This window comes from Homo sapiens, chromosome 2 (assembly GCF_000001405.40).
Source record: "Homo sapiens chromosome 2, GRCh38.p14 Primary Assembly".
Lineage (NCBI taxonomy): Eukaryota > Metazoa > Chordata > Mammalia > Primates > Hominidae > Homo > Homo sapiens.
The window spans coordinates 165,984,230-166,007,567 of record NC_000002.12 but is presented as its reverse complement, the minus strand read 5'-3'; the positions used below and the strand labels follow the sequence as shown (position 1 = coordinate 166,007,567).

Below are 23,338 nucleotides of genomic sequence, written 5' to 3'. Positions count from 1 at the left end.
GTATTTCAAATTTCCAGTCCAAATTTTTCAACTTGTAAAATTAAACTGAGTGAATTGATGTCGTGAATATCTAGGGTAAAATAAAATTTGTGTTTAAATTTGTATTTTTAATTTCCTAACCTAGGAAATCTTAAATACCTTCTTTTTCAAAAGAACTCAAGTCTTAATGGATAGGGAAACAGACGGAGAGCATCATGAACAAAAAGTAACACCAAATGTTCTGTCATATCAGATTTCTAACTAATAACAAACTATATATTTCTATTTTGTATAGGATAATCTTGCTCCAACTTGGATGGGGTGGAGCGCTGGTTCCTCCCCTGAGCCCTTTATTATGGGTACTGTATTACCCCTTTTGCTACCTTTAATCCTTGCACTGTGACTTATGTGTAGTGGGGTGAGGGAGGGATTGGGAAGGGTACTATTATTGCACCACAGTAGGGAAAATACATTATTTACATCCTAATCCCCTCTTTTCAATTGTCTTAAATTTCATTTGAAAAAAAAAAAAACCTTTATGAATTTACCCTCTGTGGATTTTAACCCCAATGGTTGATATCTTTATTAAGTTTCATTGAATATGATTTAGTTATGTGTATATGGAGTTATCCATCTTTGGGGAGATTACTGGATTGGTGAGGGCGGGGGACCCTGGTGTAGAATGATTATGTGAAAAAACAATTTAACTTGTTAAGCTCATGATACTGTTTGAGGCATACAGCCCCTGCTGTTTAGTACATTGGTCTGGGTCCTGAAAATTACCAGTTAGATACCATCAGTTGATTATTGATATGTATGAGCAGATACTAGGGTGCAATATTTCAGGTTTCATAAGACTGGTATTGATTGTGACCACTCTCATTTTTTATTGTGTAAGTTCATATGGGGTTATTTTCAAAATGTTAACAAGGCAAAAATATATTAAGAAATAGTTGAATAAGCACATGTGAATTGTGTTGTAAACAAAAAGTTAGAATAAAAAAATCCACTTATTTGAATTATGCAGAATAGAATACATACCTAGAAATAAAACAAAAACGTCTTATCATGAGTATTAAGATAAAATTTAAGGCATAAACTCACTTCTTAGAATAAGTAACTCCCAACTAACTTTCTAGGATTTTAAAACATAACACAGTGAAAACATACATAAACATAACTCTACATTTTATTTATTCTTAAAGTTTAAGTGTATTATACAAGAAGAAGAGTTTATATTCGAGAGACAGAAAAAGTCAGAATTTTTGTTTGGATCACCAATATATCATAGCTTACAAAAAAACTGTCTTAATTAAAACCCACAACATAATTTTTTTAGATTTTTAAGAAAGATTCTATTATTCTTCTTTATACTTAAAAATGGATGATTCCTACTTTGCCCACTTTTATTTTTATTCACATAGATTTTCTTTATTTCTATTAGAGAAGCACTAGAATTCATGAATAGTGTTGATTTGAAGTTCAAAGTAATTAATTCAGATAAAAAGACATTTCTGCATGTATGAAAATTTCTAATGTGAATTTGCATATTTAATTATCAATCCTTCATTTAGTGTAGACTTATTTTTAAAAATGCAGGTAATGAACCAGAAATAGAATTGGTTGTGCTAGAGTAGAGAAACTTTATTTGATGATTGTTTTGAAAAAAAAGCTTCTGAGAAGAAACAACCTCTAGTACAGTATTAATTCATTAAGATAGCTCCTTTCTCAGACATTTCCTTTCATGTAGCCTGAAAGTTCAATTTGAAATTTGTTCTTTCCAATTTATTCAGACTAATTCTGCCTACTTTCTTCCCCCCATAAGAACCAATTACTGCAGCTTTATTGAGACTGAAAAAAGTTAATACACCTCCTTCTTTGCTGAACCAAGGAATGGCTTGGAACTCTTGGGAAAAGACAATCTTTTCTATGATCTTTCATTGTCTAATTTAATACATCATAAATATGACTATAGCTTTGTATAATAAACTCCCCAATACTGTGCCAGATGTTTTCTAAGATAAAGTTATTTTATGTTCACAAAAAAAATAAAACTTTTCTCTGGGCCAAATGTATGCCAACTTTGCAAATCATATCCTGAAGTGCACTGCTGCAGAGTACATGCTTGCGTCATAAATTCCATAGAGTTCGCTTTAACTCTAAATCAATCCCCAGTTTCAAAGTAAACCTCTCAAACATATTACCTAAGCACAAACTTCTCCCTGTGCTCAGTTCCTTAATTATTCTCATCCCATATTCAGAAATAACATTTAAAAATTATGCTTTGATCAATAAATACTAATCTAAACTTTGCTTCATTAACCCATTCATTTTTGTCAACCATTATTTTATTCCTATATTCAAAGCTCTCTGGTATGTTCTTATATTCAAGACACTCAAGGCCCTGGAAGATTCACGAACATATGTTTGCATCTTAAATTTTTAGAAAATCTTACAATCTGTCAGGATTACACTGAACTCTAGTACAGAGTAATATGGGTACCAGATAAGTGGGAGCAACTCTTCCACGTAGACTGGAAACAGCACTAAATGCTATTTATAGGCTACTTTCTGAACTTAACTTGTTTTAACCTCATTTTTCTCATATGCCAAATGAGAACGCAATACTGAATTATCTGTACAGTTCTGTTCAGTACTAGAATTCTGATTCTTGAATTCAAAGGGGAAAACATTCCTCTTTATTTTGGAGGCTAAACTGGGGGACAAAGTTAGGCTCCATGAAAGAAGTGCTATTTGAACTAAAGCCTTTAAGAGGGGAGAGTATTTCAGAAGAGGAGCTATTAGACAAGGAATTTCAATGTAAATGGCATCTCAATCACCTGGCAATTATATTAGCACACGGTTATTATATTAATTGAAGTGGCATGAAGTATAGATGACCAGGGAAGTTAAAACTGGAAATATAGATTGTGGAGTGATGTGAATACCAAGGTAAGAAAAATATTTGTTAGTTACCAGAGAGCCAATAAATAACTTTCAAGTGGGACTTGGGGAAGATTAATTCATCTTACATAGATTAAATGAAGGAGAAGGTTAGGAGACAGATGACAGTGCAAGTATGAAATAACAGAGGGCAGTTCTAGGTGGTGACTGTGAGAATGGAAAAGAGGTGGCAAAGCTGAGAAACGTTTCAAAGAAAAAATGTGAGACAGGTAATGTGAAAAGAAAATCGAGAAATAGGTATAGATAATCAGTGTTCTGCTCATACTCTAAATTGGGTGTTGAAGGCAAAATACGTATTTTAATTAGTACTCTGTGTATACACACTAGAAACAGCATTGTAATCTGGATAGTGGACAAAATATTCAGAAAAGAAGGGAAATAGTAACTTGATTTCAATTTCCAAATCTCTAATCTGAAAGAAATCTAATTCTATTCATCCATTTAAAATAAATTATATAACGAGAATTTATGAAGTCCATTGTATTAATGCAGACAGTCAGATGAGATAAGGCAAAGTGTCACGTGTCAGCTTGGTAGTTGCATCGGCCACATCATTTGGTTCTGCCTGGATAACTCAACCAAATTAATTTTTCATACTCATCCCCTCCACCTTTGTCATTACTGGTATTCTTATTTTCTTTGGCCCACTTATCACACTGTTTTATGTTCCCCAGAAGGCCTAGAGTTCTTTACAGGCTTTAAACAGGGATCAGAAGTATAAGAAATTGGCTCATGTATTTTTTTTTCAGACAGGCAGTTAAAAAAAATTGTTCTAAAAATACACTGGCATCAAATGGCAAATAGAAGATGTTTTGACGACTACTTCCATTGGATCAGACTGACAAGAATAATACAAGCACATAGGTGGAATTAAACTTAGCTATTAATGTCCAAGTTTGAGGCAGCTGCCCCTTATAAGCATTTTAGGGTCTGTTTTTAGCTTCCCTCTTAGCCACTCCTGTGCAGCTCCAGTGGGAGGTATGGAGGAAAAAGCAAGGAAGCCATCCCTATGTTGTTTCCAAACATGAACACTCAAGATTTTTAACTAGTGGTCCAGAAGTAAAGAGGGGGAAAACATCCTTCTATAGAAAAAAAAAAAAGTAGATAATAATTGAACACAGAACTTCATGTGATCACATCAGATTTGAGAACTATGTATGGCATCCCTCTTTTTCTTATTTTCCTAAGAAATGATTTCTATTATGTTTCATTTGAAATAAGTTTTTTGAATTAAACTCAGTAAATGAAACAACTGACATGACTGGAGCTTGAAATAAACGATGTGATGATCTAATGAAATACATAATGCAAATTGTCTTGCTTCTTATGCAAAAATTATTAGTCATAGCAATGCATGAATAATTAAAGACAATTATATTAGGTATTTAATAATATTTTTTATATTTATCATCTGAATTTTTAAGTTATTTTAAAAATATATTGGTCAAATCAACTCAGGTCCAAATGTTTTAGTTTTGTTCTTTAATATATTGCCTTTTTAAAATGAGTTAAACTTCTGTATAGGCTTTTTAACTTTTCTTTATTCTGATAACACAATTCTGACTTCATCTGGCAGCAAGTTCCTCTGATTTTCCTTTTCCTTTAACCTTTTAATGCTTCTCCCTCCCTTTTTTTTAAAAACATTTTTGTTTCATTTCTTGGTTATATTGCCTATAGTTGTTTTCCTAAGTGTATTGCTTAAGAAAAAAAAATGAATTTTAAGATTTTTTTGAACCTTGCTTTTACATATCCTAGAATAAATAGCATTGATAGAAAAAAAGAATGGAAAGACCAGAGATTACTAGGGGAATTTTTTTTCTTTATTAACAGATAAGAATTCTGACTTTTCTTTTTTTCCATTTGTGTATTAGGTGGTTGTGAATGCCCTTTTAGGAGCAATTCCATCCATCATGAATGTGCTTCTGGTTTGTCTTATATTCTGGCTAATTTTCAGCATCATGGGCGTAAATTTGTTTGCTGGCAAATTCTACCACTGTATTAACACCACAACTGGTGACAGGTTTGACATCGAAGACGTGAATAATCATACTGATTGCCTAAAACTAATAGAAAGAAATGAGACTGCTCGATGGAAAAATGTGAAAGTAAACTTTGATAATGTAGGATTTGGGTATCTCTCTTTGCTTCAAGTTGTAAGTGAACACTATTTTCTCTGAATATTTTTATTGTTTGGAATAATAACAAAATAATGACATACATCTATTATTTAGTTCCTAAGAAAAAGTATATATTTCTTTCTATTTAAAAAATTTCAATTTGTTAGTACAAGTTTATGAGCCCAGATGGGTGAAAACTTTATTACATGTAAGGACTGCAGATATAGTCAGTAGTGACCAGACCAAACAAAGACCTCTTTGTCTTTTTTCTTGTATTTTCTTTGTTTCTATATTGCTCTTTCTATATAAACAAGTAAATTAATAAATCAGTAACTTTGCCATTTTTTATTGTGATTAGAAGGCTTGTTTCCCTGATCAGCTACCAAAACGGAATACACTTAACAGATAGATCATCTTCCAAAACACATACACTTAATACACCTAATTGGATTGTAATTAATTGGTAGGGATTAACTGCTGCTGAGTTCTATTATTTGGATCAAAGTTTGGGGAATGACATTTAGGTTTTAGAATTAGAACCAGGCATAGCGGTGGGTGCCACTGCACTCCAGCCTGGGCAACAAAGAGTGAAACTCCATCTAAAAAAAAAAAAAAAAAAAAAAAAAAAGAGAGAGAATTATACCTGGAAGCAACTAGAAACAAAAATGAAGCAAAAGCAGCTGTTGTCTTATCTCAAATGACCTTTCAGCACCATTATTTAAGTCTATTTTGTCCTAAATATTAATGTTTTCACTACTGGGTCTCTAAGACTGGGTCTCCAAGAAAAATAGTTTATAATTTATATTTAAAAAAGGTAGCCCTTTAAACATTTTCATTTGATTCTGCTTCTAGCTGCAGCAGCACCACAACAAAGCAGGGAATAAAATAAGAGTCCAGATTATTTGAAAACTCAGCTTAAAAAAAAAAGACTGTACAATTTCTTTCTTCCCTTGTGGTTCTACAGTGTCTTTAGGGCAGAAATCAATTTTTGCTCACCAAGGTTATGATTTCAACTGTTCAACCAGAAGACTAACTAAGCAAACAAACCAACACTGGTCAAAACCCTTTTGCAGCTCTTCCAGAGGTGTCAACTATGATTACTTTACAAATTCTTCCCACCTTTTTGTTGGAAATTCTTATTTCTCTTCTTAACATTTTTGATCTACTCTGAATAATATTCATGCAATTAAAATAGAGATTTTTTAAATCTGGTAAGAACGGGTGGGGCATGGTGGCTCATGCCTGTAATCCTAGCTCTTTGGGAGGCCAAAGCTGGAGGATTGCTTGAGGCCAGGAGATCTAGACCAGTGGAGGCAACATAGTGAGACCTTGTCTCTAAAGACAAATAAAAACAAAAGTTAAAAAAAATCTAGCAAGAATGCTTTCTTTAAAAATTGTCGACACATGATGATATTTATTTGGGCACTTATTCTAACCCTTAACTAATGACCATACTTGTAAATATCACTAAAGCAACCACCTCCTCCATAAATTTGAGGAAAGAAAAATTAAAAATTTTAAGCAATCCTTTAAAATGTAAGCAATTCTGAAAATACAGTGATGGTCCTGCACAAAGCTATTAAATAAATTCTGCCACCAAAAAAAAAAAAAACCCTCTAAAATACTGCTTCACATTTGGCTTTTATAGAATCACCTCTCTATTGATTAGTAAGTCATTGAAATGGTCCCTTGAATCACTTTTTTGTTTCTATACCAAGTGTGTAATGGAATTGTTCTATCATTGACCTAAGCCACTGACATATTTAACACATCTCTCTCTCTTTCATATACAAAAGCCTTGTACTTTCTAGCTAGGAATCATTACTTTCTTTTCACTGCTGTCACCCACACCCTTGCTTAGCTTTTGTCTCATGAAATCCACCACCTCACAAGGGTTAGCGTTATCAGAACAAAGATATATTGTGATACAGACGCTAAAGGCTTTGCTAACCTCCCTCACTAGCTAAGGGATAATCCTTTTAGGCCCACAGGACTCAAAATTCATGCCCCAGGACAAGTAACAAATTACTGTAAGTTGTTAGCCTGAGTATCCTTCATCCTGTGAGTGCCAAGTGTCTGCTGTACTATTGTTCACATTTCTTATTCATATTAACTTATTATCTTCAAGAATTTCAGAAAGAAAATAGAATAGGGGGTTATTTCTAAATGTTTTGATGCAAAATTCTTAAAAGGATTGTATTTCTAAATGTTTTGCTCCAAAATTCTTAAAAGGATAGTTGCAACCCTGCCTTTATGTATCCTGGTACTATCCTTACATTGTTACAATAAAGAGAAATCTTAAATTTTCAATCACTTTGATCACCCTGCAGATAAATTTTAGCAGATGATCCTTAGATCTAAGTTGTAATTATTTGGCTGATAGAGCTATTGACCCATGTGTTGGCATTTGTAAGACTTTCTAAAAAGTGCTCCAGCAAATTTTAATACTGCTTTAAATATCATGACACCATGAACTCTAAAGAATTGAAAAGTGCTTGTGAGTTGGTTATCAAGGGGAGGATATATCAAATGGCCATTTTGTTCAATATGTGTTCTAGAAATGAAAAGCCATACTAAAATACTGTCTTGGTCCAAAATCTGTGTAAAATTTGTTTTGAAATGTCTTTCAAAAATATTCCCTTTTGAAAATTATATCAGTAAGAATATTTATTAAACATCAGGTCTAAATTATTTTTACTCCAAAGTAAAACATGCATGTCCTTCTTAATAGGCCACATTCAAAGGATGGATGGATATAATGTATGCAGCAGTTGATTCCAGAAATGTAAGTATTCCTTGTATTCTAAGTCTTTTTACAATATTGATCAGGTGGTAAAATTAATCGAATAAAGCATAAACGACCAAATGAAATGATTCTATCTTGATTTAAAATATTTGGGAAAAAGTGTGACAGGTAAATATTCAAGCATAGCAATGTTTATCAGAAAGATCTTACTAAGATAATTCAACACATGAATTATTTTGAAAACCAAAGTAACAAATTCATGTATTTAGTAACTAACAAATATTTTCCTTTTAAATATTTTCTATTTTGTTTCCTATTTATCCACACATTATATAATTAGTAGTAATTTTAGTGTGCGGGACCAAATTTGAAGAAATATATGATTTCTATCATTAGTTGAAATGTATAGTCACCCTCCATATTAGACAGCATGAAAAGTTATGGATATTGTTCTGTCAGCCTTAGATTACTGTGATGATTTCTTTCAAATAATCCTATTTTAAACCATATAAAAGAATGTTTTTATATGATTTTTGCATTCATAAATTGACTGGAGCCTTTACTAATGTTGCAATCACTTCTGTGACCAACAGATTCCTTTAAGTGTATATCACCAAAATATAAACCTATTTTATTTGATTTCAGCCTCTTTCAGGCTCCAAGACCTAAACTGAAATTCATGCTCATTCCAACTTTGCTCTTCAAAACTTTGTAAGATGTAGTATTTTCTATCAACCTTCATCTTTCTATTCTCAAGTCCCATCTGTTTAGTTTATCATCATAAAGAATAACCTCTGTCCCTGCAGTCTTCAACCTGATAGAGTTTGATGTTATCTTTCTTGAAGTGCATTTCAAATAGCTTTAGTTTTATGTTGAATATCATTTTGATAACCTCCAGAGTTGTTTTATTTCACTTTGTCACTTATATTTTGTTTTGTGTGTTTAGTTGGTTTTTAACTTTGTTGCTTTTAGAAGGACATGAATCTGTTAAAAAACTATAGTGACCTTTCAGTCCATTACTAAATTATAAGTAATAGCCCATTTGTTTTAAGCACAATCTAGGAATTAAATAATCAACTGAGGATTTATAAAATGGACTGTCCATCTATGTCTACTTAATCTGAAAAATTCAATAACTGTTACTTTAGGGTAAAGTGCCAAACATCTGAATGAACAACTCATTTCTTATTTGCTACATTATTTCATGCATACATGAATGACTGTTTCTAAACCTAGCCTGTAGATATTTACAGTTTTAAATTTTTTATTAATAATTTTAAAATTACTAAAATTCAGTACCTTAAAAGCTTGCAAATTTAGCACATTACTGTTCAAATGGAAGAATATTATTTGTATTTATAGTTATAAAAATAGATTTTAGAATGTCATAATAGCCATATTTTTCACATGAAAACATCCCTAAAGGCCAATTTCAGGGATGTTTTTTAGAGGTAGTTGATTCAGAAAAAAAAAAAATGCTGACATATTAGTAAGAATAATTTTTTCTATTGTTATGAAAAAGCACCAGTGACATTTCCAGCACTAAAATGTATGGTAATATTTTACAAAATATTCCCCTTTGGTAGGTGGAACTCCAGCCTAAGTATGAAGAAAGTCTGTACATGTATCTTTACTTTGTTATTTTCATCATCTTTGGGTCCTTCTTCACCTTGAACCTGTTTATTGGTGTCATCATAGATAATTTCAACCAGCAGAAAAAGAAGATAAGTATTTCTAATATTTTCTCTCCCACTGAGATAGAAAATTATTCCTTGGAGTGTTTTCTCTGCCAAATGAGTACTTGAATTTAGAAACAAAATGGGAGTATATATTATAACTGATTTTTCCTTCCTCTTCCTCTGTCATTCACTATCCATATATTTCCGGCTATAGAAAGCTAAGAATAACTGTGTTCCACACTCTTGTTCATAGGTTCATAAAGTTTTTCCTCCTCTTATTCATTATCAAGAAACATTTTCTATCTTTTAAAAAATAATAATTAGAATAAAACTAGAAAGCAACCGAATATGCCTCTTTCCCAAAAGCAATTTGTTACTTTATCCCTACAACTACCCACTCCCCCTTGAAAATATATTTTCCAACTAATTCTTTGCAATAAATTAGGCACTGGATGTAAGCTTCTTCTAGTGTTTATTTTTACGCTTTTTTCTGTCATTGATTTCTTTTATATATTCCCATTTCTTTCTCCAAGATATTTAAATACAAGCTATCCGTTTCAGTCTTGAATTGTATGACTATTATTTATCATTTATAAGGCTCATTTGATTGTCCCAATTACCTATGTACATTATAGAACATATGGAAAGTAAATAAATATCATCACTTGGAAGTAACTGCTGCCATTCACATTTTGTTTTCTGTTCAGAGTATTTCTGCACATACTCTTATTGTTGTACTTTTTATCTATAATTATAAATTCCACTTTAGACTTAACATAAGTATTTTCTCATTTTGTTAAGTCTTCATATATGCATTATCATAATTTACTTATTCATTCCCCAGTAGGTTGATAATTTAGATTGTTTTTAATCTTTAATGATTTAAATAGTACCTTGTTGAAAGTTTTGTACAAAAAAAAAGAGAGAGGGACAGAAAATAAGGCTTTAATTATTTCCTGAGAATAAATTCCCACAATGAAGTATTTTACTCCCCTAGAGTAATATAACTACTCAAACTCCCAATATCAGTGTATGAACACCCATGCCACCGTTCCCTCACTGTCACCAAACATTCTGTTTTTGAATATTTGATATTTAATAGGTGAAAACTGTATTTAATTTTAATTTTTATGACTTTTATAACCTTAATTGTTATGACTTTTATGTATTTTATTACATTTGAACATGTTCTTAAATGCTCATTGGCCATTTGTATTTCTTCCTTTATGTACTGTTGCTTCATCTCACTTGTTCAGTAGGTTTGCTTTTTGTATAATGAATGAGTGCTTTCTTAGACTACAGAACATTCTCCCCTCAATTCCCTTTTCTTATTACCAGTAGTATTCTTAAGTCAATATCAGGCTACTCTATTTCACTTACTTGCCAGTGTTCCAATCTTCTATCCCTACTGGTCTGTCCCATACTTACTATGCTATGAGCTCTGATTTATCCCCTAAATCTCTCACTAACTCATCCAGTTTTCTTTTTATCCCTTTCCTCCAATTCTTGACAGAGTTAGAGTGACTTTTTTAATGAGTAACTCCAAACTGTCTTGCAGTATACATCCTCTAACTCTTTGCTACATTTAAATAAGAAAATTATTGCCTTTAACATCATAAAGGTAGTATGTATAGTATAAGGTACCAAGTATTTATTATCTCAGTGAACCAAATTTCGCCACTCACTAAGCATAAGGTCTTGGGTAAAATACTTAACCTTTTTGAGATTTGGGGGTGTTTGTCTTCATAAGATAATAATAATAAAGTCAATTTTGAATTATTTAGGGAATTAAATATTATCATACCTAAAGAGTACAATTTTTTTTACATTTTAAATCCCAGATATAATTATACTAATCAGTTGAATTTTGTATTTCTTTTTTTAGCCATCCATTTTCTATTTTAACATTGAAAAAAATGTACAAAAGGACACAGTTTTAACCAGTTTGATTTTTCTTTTCTATACTTTGGAGGTCAAGACATCTTTATGACAGAAGAACAGAAGAAATACTATAATGCAATGAAAAAATTAGGATCGAAAAAACCGCAAAAGCCTATACCTCGACCAGGAGTAAGAAGTATCAAATGATATGGGGGAAAAATACAAAAACAAAAACTTGCATGCTTGTCTCACAAAAAAGAAAGTAGCTAACATTTCCAGTAGAAAAAATTTCTTTCACTTGTAGAGCATCATCTAAAAGTGATGTTTGTATCTTTTATGATAATGGTAACAACAAAAAAAATTAAAGACCAAAAAAGAACAAGAAGAAATAGAAGATACACCCTTGACTTCAAGAGATTTAGAAGCACCCCATTACAATCCATATTAATTGGCCAATGGACACATAGACAATGTGATGTGCACAAGAGAAAGTTAATCACACAACTCAAGAATGGTTGCCAAGTAATATCAGGGAAAGAAGTAAACCTTGGGATGGGGCTGTAAGAAATGCAATTTCCTAATATTTTAAGAAATGAAGTGTTGAGTGAAATAACACCTTACTTCTATTTTATTTTTCACTAGAGATACTAAGTGTTTTAAAGGAGGAAAGAATTCCAGTATCTACTATTCATATGTATGGCTATAGAGTTAGGTATTACTAATGTCTGCAGAAGTCAGGGTCAGTAATTACAGTTTATGATGATAAATAACAATACTCATGCTTCCATGATGAAATAAACAAATTGCTATGAAAATGTACAGCTATTATCCCACACTATAAATATTTTTATGATGATGATCTGAGAGGTTTCAGTAATTCCTAGGGTGCATCAAGGAAAAAACTACTAGCAAATATTCATATTGTGATGATTGAATATTGCCTTCCTGAGAATGATGAGAAATATATACTTTCTCCATTAAAATTTAGCACTAAGAGTAGAAATGAAACAACAATTTAGGAAAAATATAAGTTGGAAAATTCCCTCAGAATTCCTCAGTGGCCCAAAGAAATAAGCCTGCAGATGGCCTTCAGTGACTAGCAGTGGCAGAAATGGGAAGCAGAATCACAGATCAACGACAAAGAACGTGAAGTTTTTTTTGACATAAACATATAGGAAATGTCATTCTGGTCTCATTATCCTTGTGCAGTTTCAGGATTCTGTGTCTGACAATGTTAGCCAAGGCTATTTGGTAGAAGAATATGAGTATTGCCATATGTGGTATTTAAATGCATAATGTTATAGATGTGTCTTGGAAATTCCAAATTCTCCTTAACAATTATTTGAGAATACAACAAGTGAAATATTAATAGTACTATATTTTAAAATGGATGTATGGTCCAGCTGATCATTGGAAAGTCTTGAAAAAAAAATTAAATGGGTTTCTTACCTTTTCATAATCTTAAAATGTTGATATGTGTTGCATACCTCTGGAAGAAGTATACAGTGTTGAATGTTTCTTTTGTTTGTTTGTTTGTTTGTTTGTTTGTTTTTATCAGAAACCTTCTTTGGATAAGGGATTGTTATTCTGAGAAATACACATTAGTAAATGGCAATTTAAATAACTAAATTTTAACAATTAATATGCTATAAATCATTCTTACAAAAATCAGGGCCAATGACTACTTTGCAAGAAACTAGAAAGTCAATTAATGCAGAAAGTACTTAATGCTAATGCACATGAGAAAACTCCTTTGTTGTTAAAAGCATTTCTATTTCTCTACAGAACAAATTTCAAGGAATGGTCTTTGACTTCGTAACCAGACAAGTTTTTGACATAAGCATCATGATTCTCATCTGTCTTAACATGGTCACAATGATGGTGGAAACAGATGACCAGAGTGAATATGTGACTACCATTTTGTCACGCATCAATCTGGTGTTCATTGTGCTATTTACTGGAGAGTGTGTACTGAAACTCATCTCTCTACGCCATTATTATTTTACCATTGGATGGAATATTTTTGATTTTGTGGTTGTCATTCTCTCCATTGTAGGTAAGAAATATTTAAAGTTCTTAAATTCAGTTAAATAAAAGTGAAAGCTGAAACAATCAAGATTAGATTCAAGATCATCCCAGCAATCAGAGATAATCACTGTAAATATTTTGATACATTTTATCCAAGTGTGTTTGTTTTTTTAACAAAATGTCTCCTACTATATGTCAGTATTGTTTCTTATTCTATCCATTTAGAACAATATACTTAGTGTAAATGTAGTAAAACCTCATTCATTTGAACTAGAACTGTGCTATTAACTAAAATAAAAATGTTTTTGACATGTTGAGATTGAAGAACCAATATAGTATCTAGATGGTTCTGTTAACAAGACTAGAAATGTAGTCTGGTACTCACGAAAATTGCTTTAGAGAATAGACATGGAGTCACCAGCATATAGATATTAGTGGAAAGTGGTTTCAAGATAAGGAAAAGTATTGCATAAAAAGAGAATAAAGACAAGGACTAAACATTAGCAAATGCATATAGTAGGTTCTCTGCAAGTGTCATGTAGAGATTTTCTAGACTACCTTAAAAATGGGTTTATCATAATGATGCACAAGGGAAATAAGGTGGCATGGGACATCATCAGTACTATACTTCAAAGCCTGGAACACATAACTAGCCTCATGAGCAATAGCTCATTTCATTAGACAAAACTAAAGCTCTAGTAAAGTAAAAAGCATCTGTCTGTGGGCCTATTCATTCTTCCCTAAACAGGATGATATGATTGGGTCAATATTTTACTATCCAAAACGAGGCACCTGTGTTGGACAGATTTTCATGCCACTCCCCTCTCTGAAGAAACTGGCCTTATATCCAGCTCATTGTATATAGCCTTTGATTCCCACTAATTATAATCCTTGGTTATAACTAGTGTGGCTAAGGTATAAAAGTTGTATTCTCACACGTCTCCTTCTCTCTCTCTCTCTCTCACACACACACACACACACACACACACACACTCTTACACTTCGTCTTTTCAGAATGAGGCATTTAAACTTGAAGGCATTTAGTTTCTTGAGCTCTTCTTTTTAACTTTACAAGTATTGTTTTTATCTAAAAAGCAAATGGAGAGAGAAGCTGAAAATAAGAAGACTGAGATTACAGTGTTAGGTACAGGAGACCAAAAAGAATTGAAATACAACATTAAGTACAGGATACTAAAAAGAGCATCAACCTGGGATCCTTTCAGAAATGCACCAGAACATACATAAATGAGTATATAAAAATATTAGAGTGGAATTTAAGTAAGTACCAAGATCATGGGGAGATGAAAGTAGCATCAAAAGCTACCAATACTTTCAGATGGAAAAGGAGTAAATAGAGAATTTAGAATATGGCAATTTCAGAAAAAGTCACTGTATACATATAAACTTGTACCTATACTGTTGGGCTGCTACTGTTCGGCCAAATGTGCATTTTTAACTTATTTTCTTTTTAAATTCTGACTTGGGACTTTACATAAACTAAAAGTAGTTTATAAACATCTCTTAAAGATAAAAAAAAGTACTATAATCCTTATAATTGAAATTATTGCTGAATTTCAAAATTAAGATTTATAATATATTATGTACAATTATATATATATTATATATAGTTGTCATATTTAATATAACTGGGTTCAGGACTCTGAACCTTACCTTGGAGCTTTAGAAGAAACATATGTTTATTTTAACGCATGATTTCTTCACTGGTTGGTATTCTCATTGTTTATTCATAGGTATGTTTCTTGCCGAGCTGATAGAAAAGTATTTCGTGTCCCCTACCCTGTTCCGAGTGATCCGTCTTGCTAGGATTGGCCGAATCCTACGTCTGATCAAAGGAGCAAAGGGGATCCGCACGCTGCTCTTTGCTTTGATGATGTCCCTTCCTGCGTTGTTTAACATCGGCCTCCTACTCTTCCTAGTCATGTTCATCTACGCCATCTTTGGGATGTCCAACTTTGCCTATGTTAAGAGGGAAGTTGGGATCGATGACATGTTCAACTTTGAGACCTTTGGCAACAGCATGATCTGCCTATTCCAAATTACAACCTCTGCTGGCTGGGATGGATTGCTAGCACCCATTCTCAACAGTAAGCCACCCGACTGTGACCCTAATAAAGTTAACCCTGGAAGCTCAGTTAAGGGAGACTGTGGGAACCCATCTGTTGGAATTTTCTTTTTTGTCAGTTACATCATCATATCCTTCCTGGTTGTGGTGAACATGTACATCGCGGTCATCCTGGAGAACTTCAGTGTTGCTACTGAAGAAAGTGCAGAGCCTCTGAGTGAGGATGACTTTGAGATGTTCTATGAGGTTTGGGAGAAGTTTGATCCCGATGCAACTCAGTTCATGGAATTTGAAAAATTATCTCAGTTTGCAGCTGCGCTTGAACCGCCTCTCAATCTGCCACAACCAAACAAACTCCAGCTCATTGCCATGGATTTGCCCATGGTGAGTGGTGACCGGATCCACTGTCTTGATATCTTATTTGCTTTTACAAAGCGGGTTCTAGGAGAGAGTGGAGAGATGGATGCTCTACGAATACAGATGGAAGAGCGATTCATGGCTTCCAATCCTTCCAAGGTCTCCTATCAGCCAATCACTACTACTTTAAAACGAAAACAAGAGGAAGTATCTGCTGTCATTATTCAGCGTGCTTACAGACGCCACCTTTTAAAGCGAACTGTAAAACAAGCTTCCTTTACGTACAATAAAAACAAAATCAAAGGTGGGGCTAATCTTCTTATAAAAGAAGACATGATAATTGACAGAATAAATGAAAACTCTATTACAGAAAAAACTGATCTGACCATGTCCACTGCAGCTTGTCCACCTTCCTATGACCGGGTGACAAAGCCAATTGTGGAAAAACATGAGCAAGAAGGCAAAGATGAAAAAGCCAAAGGGAAATAAATGAAAATAAATAAAAATAATTGGGTGACAAATTGTTTACAGCCTGTGAAGGTGATGTATTTTTATCAACAGGACTCCTTTAGGAGGTCAATGCCAAACTGACTGTTTTTACACAAATCTCCTTAAGGTCAGTGCCTACAATAAGACAGTGACCCCTTGTCAGCAAACTGTGACTCTGTGTAAAGGGGAGATGACCTTGACAGGAGGTTACTGTTCTCACTACCAGCTGACACTGCTGAAGATAAGATGCACAATGGCTAGTCAGACTGTAGGGACCAGTTTCAAGGGGTGCAAACCTGTGATTTTGGGGTTGTTTAACATGAAACACTTTAGTGTAGTAATTGTATCCACTGTTTGCATTTCAACTGCCACATTTGTCACATTTTTATGGAATCTGTTAGTGGATTCATCTTTTTGTTAATCCATGTGTTTATTATATGTGACTATTTTTGTAAACGAAGTTTCTGTTGAGAAATAGGCTAAGGACCTCTATAACAGGTATGCCACCTGGGGGGTATGGCAACCACATGGCCCTCCCAGCTACACAAAGTCGTGGTTTGCATGAGGGCATGCTGCACTTAGAGATCATGCATGAGAAAAAGTCACAAGAAAAACAAATTCTTAAATTTCACCATATTTCTGGGAGGGGTAATTGGGTGATAAGTGGAGGTGCTTTGTTGATCTTGTTTTGCGAAATCCAGCCCCTAGACCAAGTAGATTATTTGTGGGTAGGCCAGTAAATCTTAGCAGGTGCAAACTTCATTCAAATGTTTGGAGTCATAAATGTTATGTTTCTTTTTGTTGTATTAAAAAAAAAACCTGAATAGTGAATATTGCCCCTCACCCTCCACCGCCAGAAGACTGAATTGACCAAAATTACTCTTTATAAATTTCTGCTTTTTCCTGCACTTTGTTTAGCCATCTTCGGCTCTCAGCAAGGTTGACACTGTATATGTTAATGAAATGCTATTTATTATGTAAATAGTCATTTTACCCTGTGGTGCACGTTTGAGCAAACAAATAATGACCTAAGCACAGTATTTATTGCATCAAATATGTACCACAAGAAATGTAGAGTGCAAGCTTTACACAGGTAATAAAATGTATTCTGTACCATTTATAGATAGTTTGGATGCTATCAATGCATGTTTATATTACCATGCTGCTGTATCTGGTTTCTCTCACTGCTCAGAATCTCATTTATGAGAAACCATATGTCAGTGGTAAAGTCAAGGAAATTGTTCAACAGATCTCATTTATTTAAGTCATTAAGCAATAGTTTGCAGCACTTTAACAGCTTTTTGGTTATTTTTACATTTTAAGTGGATAACATATGGTATATAGCCAGACTGTACAGACATGTTTAAAAAAACACACTGCTTAACCTATTAAATATGTGTTTAGAATTTTATAAGCAAATATAAATACTGTAAAAAGTCACTTTATTTTATTTTTCAGCATTATGTACATAAATATGAAGAGGAAATTATCTTCAGGTTGATATCACAATCACTTTTCTTACTTTCTGTCCATAGTACTTTTTCATGAAAGAAATTTGCTAAATAAGACATGAAAACAAGACTGGGTAGTTGTAGATTTCTGCTTTTTAAATTACATTTGCTAATTTTAGATTATTTCACAATTTTAAGGAGCAAAATAGGTTCACGATTCATATCCAAATTATGCTTTGCAATTGGAAAAGGGTTTAAAATTTTATTTATATTTCTGGTAGTACCTGCACTAACTGAATTGAAGGTAGTGCTTATGTTATTTTTGTTCTTTTTTTCTGACTTCGGTTTATGTTTTCATTTCTTTGGAGTAATGCTGCTCTAGATTGTTCTAAATAGAATGTGGGCTTCATAATTTTTTTTTCCACAAAAACAGAGTAGTCAACTTATATAGTCAATTACATCAGGACATTTTGTGTTTCTTACAGAAGCAAACCATAGGCTCCTCTTTTCCTTAAAACTACTTAGATAAACTGTATTCGTGAACTGCATGCTGGAAAATGCTACTATTATGCTAAATAATGCTAACCAACATTTAAAATGTGCAAAACTAATAAAGATTACATTTTTTATTTTATTGTTTGCCCAGTCACTTTTTGTTAACAGAATATTCTAATGATATGGAGATTTTTTACATTACAAATTGGGGGAGAAGGGGAGCGCGCGCGCACACACACACACACACACACACACACACACACACACACAGAGGCATACCCACGTTGACAACAAAACCTAGGGTAGATATGTCACTGGAGGTAGGGGGTAATGACCTCCCAGAATTACAAGCAGCAGGTGTGTTCTCTGTTAGGAGGAAGAACTGGTGTCAGAGGATAGCTAGTGATTCTAGGAGGAAGAGAAGTATGGAAGCCAGAGTGATGGTGGATGACCCCTTGAGCTATGAAAAGAAACCCTTAAATCATCATTTAAAAATTTAGAATTGCCATGTGTGTAGGATACTGTGTTTGCTCCTCCAGAGCCACTCTCTCTGCTTCTGCATCATTCTGTGTGTCCCAGAAGGGTGACTTCTACACATTGCAAAAATGGGCTCTCCTACCTTTGAGCTCCCAATTGGTTTGGCCAATGAGAAGCACCAGTGGGAAAGCACCAGAGAGAGAAGATTGACATAGGAATATTTCTTCTCCAATTCCTTCTTTGCTGGGTTGGCACTGGACTCATTCCTCCCCGAAAAGTCATACTCCAATCAGACTGCCCCTCATACAACTGAAGCTACTTTCTCTGGGGTCAGGTAATCACTCCTCCCCTTGCTCCTTCAGGTCTGCTGCTGCATTGAGAGTGCTTTTGTATTCCTTGTAGCTTTCTCCTAACATTGCTGACACTTTTGTAAATGTCCCCTTCATGAAATTCTTCTATATGCCTCATTTCAGCATGCCATCTGTCTCCTGCCTGGCTGACACAAGGTGATTCAACAGCTCATGAAAGTCAGCAGGAAGCAAAGATGTGCCTTGCTTCAGCTTGGGGTCTTAATCTTGCTAACTTTTGCAGATAAAGAAAAACAGTAACTGGGGGAACCACAGTGAAGTCCAGTGCAGAATTCACAGATATCATGGAAAGGTTACTCGGGTGGTCCAGATAGTAAAATTAACAGTCTAAATTAATCTATCTAAATTTCTGAGGAACGAGAAGCCTTCCCTTGTCATCAGGTGAAGCCAGAAGAGGGAATATAGCCTCAACCAGAAAAGGGACAGTAATTAAAAGGCTTTTCCCATCCTTGTACAATGGACTGACTTTGCCTCTTCATAACATCACAATCCTAAAGCAACACAACAATTAATTCTGATATATTAGTAGCTGAAAAAAATTCCCATTTCCAACTAAGGTAGGTCAGAATTATAGGATAAACCCTGCAGACTTTTTATACTACCCATCCACGCCATTACTCACTGTTACCTTTCCAAATACAAAGAGAAGAACTGGTAAAACATAATCATATAAATCTCCATATTCATTTTGAAATATTTGGCATGATATTTTCTGTGCTAAAAAGTAATTATTCTTCAAAGAATGATGAGGTCATGTCAGTAAGACACAGGAACCAACTAGAAGGGGCTTCCCACTGGCCAAATCTGGGGCAAGTTGAGCATCAAAATAAATGATAGTAAAAGATTATAATTCATTGAATAAGAATCAGCAAATACATACTGATGTAAGTAAATAAGGAAAAGTACAAATCTGTTTCTTGCAGTTGAATGTTAATTAACAATTGTAGAAGAAATAACGGAGTTAGAAAAATCACTATTTGGCAATCACCCTAATGACAATTGATTCATACAAGAATCATCAATGAGTATTAAAACTCATGGGTGAAAGTTTGATGAGGAATAGGGTATTTATAGCATCTTAAAGTATCTCTTCTCTATTAAGTAGAAAATTTAAACAGAAGAAAGTATACTTTGGAGAAATACAGCAGACAATACCTTCAAAGATATCATCAATTATGAGACCAACTGATACTATGTGCCTCCTGATAAGATATACTGAAAGGGCCACATTACTTCTTGGTACACAGTCAAAATTTTAAAACCAGAATCTAACTACAAGGAAAATCAAATTGAGGACACTCTATAAAATAAGTGGACTGAACTCCTTAAAAATGTCAATGTCATGAAAGACAAAGAAAGGCTAAAGAATTCCATGAGGTCAAAGAACTATGACAACTAAACACAATTCTGGATGGAATATCAAATTAAAAAATAACAGATAAATAATATTATTGGGAAAGTTGAATAAATTTGAATATGGACTGTTTATTAGTTATTAGTATTATAATAGTGTTAATTTTCCTAATTTTGTTAAGACTAGTGTGCCTGTTCCATGAAAATAGAAAATGTTCTTATTCTCTGAAAATGCATGCTAAAGTATTTAGGGGTGAATGCAACAATGTCTGCAGCTCATTCTTGAATCAGTTCAAAGAAAAATGAGTTACATTTATATATATATGTATGTATGTAAACAGACATAGATAAAAGTATAGATGTGTGTGTGTCTTTAGAAAGGGGAGGATTTTTTTTTTTTTTTTGCTGTGTGTTACTGAAGTGCCTATGTCTGCGTGTTCACACTATCATATTTTGTATGCCCTGGACTTTATAATTTCTACCTTCAAAATTAGATCTACTGTTGGTAATTAATTCAATATATACTGGTTTTTTAACTACTATTCTCATTTCCTAGCAGTAATCTTCCTGAAAAGTCACAGAAATGATTACATTCCTTGTTCTTCATAATAATCACTGTTTAATTAAAATAAGAATATTTTAGAAAAGATCTGCGGCATAGTGGTTAAGACCCCAGTATTTGATGCTAAACAGATCTGATTTGGATAACAGAAGGTGGCACTTTGCTGTTTAAGCTGGGGACCAGACACTGTGGGTATAAATAGTAATTCCAAACACAGCTCCACAGAGCAGCACCCTTATGACAAGGTTTTCATATGTCTATAGTTAAGCCAGAAAATTAAGAATAATGCCATAAATATTTATAAAGCTGAACATATCCAAGTTAAAGACCTTTATCCTGAAATTGTATCTTTTAGATTATTTTCTAAAGACTAATACCATTTAATGTTTAAATGTTCTTTGGAAATGATGGTGAGAATACGTGATAATGGGTCATTGGTTTTAATATTTTATTTAGCCAAGTGGAAAATTGGCAACCTGGTGTCGGTCCTCCCATTTGTATTTTACTGGTGCATGAAATCCAAAAGTCTAGTAACCATTGGGACAGACAACTCTACTGCATAAGTTTGTATGTTTGTATATCTGTATCACAAAGCCCAGACACTCGAACTATATAAACTTGTCGCACTAAAGACAGCAAATATGTCTGGTAATTGCATATTCTTCATGTGTGCACTGGAATTTCTTATTATATAAGAAAATAAATGTGTTTCTAAACCACCATGAATTGGGTACTGCTGATAGTACTATTCTTCCTGGCACATGGAAATATCCCACTGAGGTTGTCAATCAATATTGATTTAATCAGTGTGGCAGCAAAGGCACTAGAGGAGGAAAATACTCTAGACAATCAAGTATAGATGGGAAAATTGCATCACCAAGAAATTCTTAAAATCACAAGTGGATAATTTGCAATATCAATTGATTTTACTCAACTGCTTGAGTCCTTTATCATTCCGTTAGAACACTCCTCATATTTGCAGATAACTCAGCCCCTCACCTCAGCAACAAGCAAGAGGACATCATTATAAACTTCCTCAATTTCTTTCCTATCCAGTGAAAAATATCTAAGTCCCTTTTCCCTTCCCTTTTCCTTCCCTTCCCTTCCTTTTTCTTTCCTTCCATTCTCTTCCTTTTTCCTTCCTTTTTCTTTCCTTCCATTCTCTTCCTTTTTCCTTCCTTTTTCTTACTTTACCTCCCCCTCCTACCTTTCCCTTTCTCCCTTCCTCCCTCTCTCCCTTCCTTCCTCTCTCCCTCTCCTTCCTTCCTTCCTTCAATCCATACTTTTATATCTTTTCAGAGATCAATTTTTCCCATTCATTTCTACATTCTCAGATACCTTGCTCCATGACTTGTTCTACTTCTCTTCTATCTTTATTCTTTCCCTCTTGACTGATCCTTTTTGTCTGCCTTTGCATTTTCAAAATCAGTTTTTCTAATCTTAAAAAATAACTTTGCTCAACCCTGATGCATCTTTATTCACTGTGTCATTATCTCATTATTTTTAAAGGTTAGTTTCTAAAGCCAGGGCTCTATACTCACTACCTTCACTCTTGGTTAAAATTAAAAGAAATATAGGTCCCAGTGATATTTATGGGAAAATTTGACTGTGAATAATCTTGTTGATATAAACACTTTGGGTTTTCAAAATGTTATGCTAGCTGTTAACTTTCCCAGTAACATTATGAGGGAAGGGCTGGAAAATACAAAAGGTAGACATAGGAACCGAGAACACCACCCCTATGGAGCCAAGCTATACATACTCTGTCTCTGGTTATCATAAATACATCTCCTATATTCAATGCTTGCTTAGAAAGGCATGATGTCCACGGAGCAATTCAATTGTTCACTGTGATGGGTTTTTTTGTTTTCTCCTCATGGAATGCAACTTTTATTTATGAGAATATGGAGACCAGAAAGTCCCTAAAATAAATTTGTAAAAAAAAAAATTTAAGGATAAATTCATCATGAAAAAAGTATTGTTATAGAAAGTTTAATTTTTCCCCTAAGTTGTTATGAACTGACTACCCCTGTGTTAATTAAACTTGCCATTATGCATGTGTATATTTTGTTGGAAACCATTGAGATACAAGTCTTATTTTTCTTCTTCAAGCTGTTTGAAATAAATTGTGACTCAAACAAATTCAAATACCAGCCCAATGCTGAATCTTATTCTTCCAGAGCACCTTCTCTCTCTCCTTCATGGTCTCAAACCTGGCTCCTACTTTTACCACTCTAAATTAGCTAAATTTGATCTTTATTCAGGCTTCATCGTATCTGGCAGATTTTTAGAATTCAGTGATGATGATG

General features: G+C 33.6%; 1 protein-coding gene and 1 long non-coding RNA gene across 19 annotated transcripts in view; one reads left to right on the top strand and one right to left on the bottom strand.

Moving 5' to 3' along the window:
- Positions 1-22,927, top strand: part of SCN1A (sodium voltage-gated channel alpha subunit 1) — a 164,521-nt gene extending 141,594 nt beyond the window's left edge. For 15 of the 18 annotated variants that reach the window (NM_001353949.2, NM_001353958.2, NM_001353950.2 and 12 more), the window contains 6 exons: positions 4,815-5,096; positions 7,792-7,845; positions 9,393-9,530; positions 11,451-11,555; positions 13,152-13,422; positions 15,146-22,927. In NM_001353949.2, coding sequence (NP_001340878.1) covers positions 4,815-5,096; positions 7,792-7,845; positions 9,393-9,530; positions 11,451-11,555; positions 13,152-13,422; positions 15,146-16,323 — 2,028 coding nt within the window. In that variant the 3' untranslated portion in view covers positions 16,324-22,927. Of the gene's footprint in view, positions 1-274; positions 339-4,814; positions 5,097-7,791; positions 7,846-9,392; positions 9,531-11,450; positions 11,556-13,151; positions 13,423-15,145 lie in introns of those variants that run through there. The other 3 variants (NR_148667.2, NM_001165963.4, XM_047445393.1) reach the window with 3 other exon arrangements.
- LOC102724058 (uncharacterized) overlaps positions 1-23,338 on the bottom strand; it is a 78,983-nt gene that overhangs the window by 28,833 nt on the left and 26,812 nt on the right. The gene's annotated exons all lie outside the window — the stretch shown is intronic.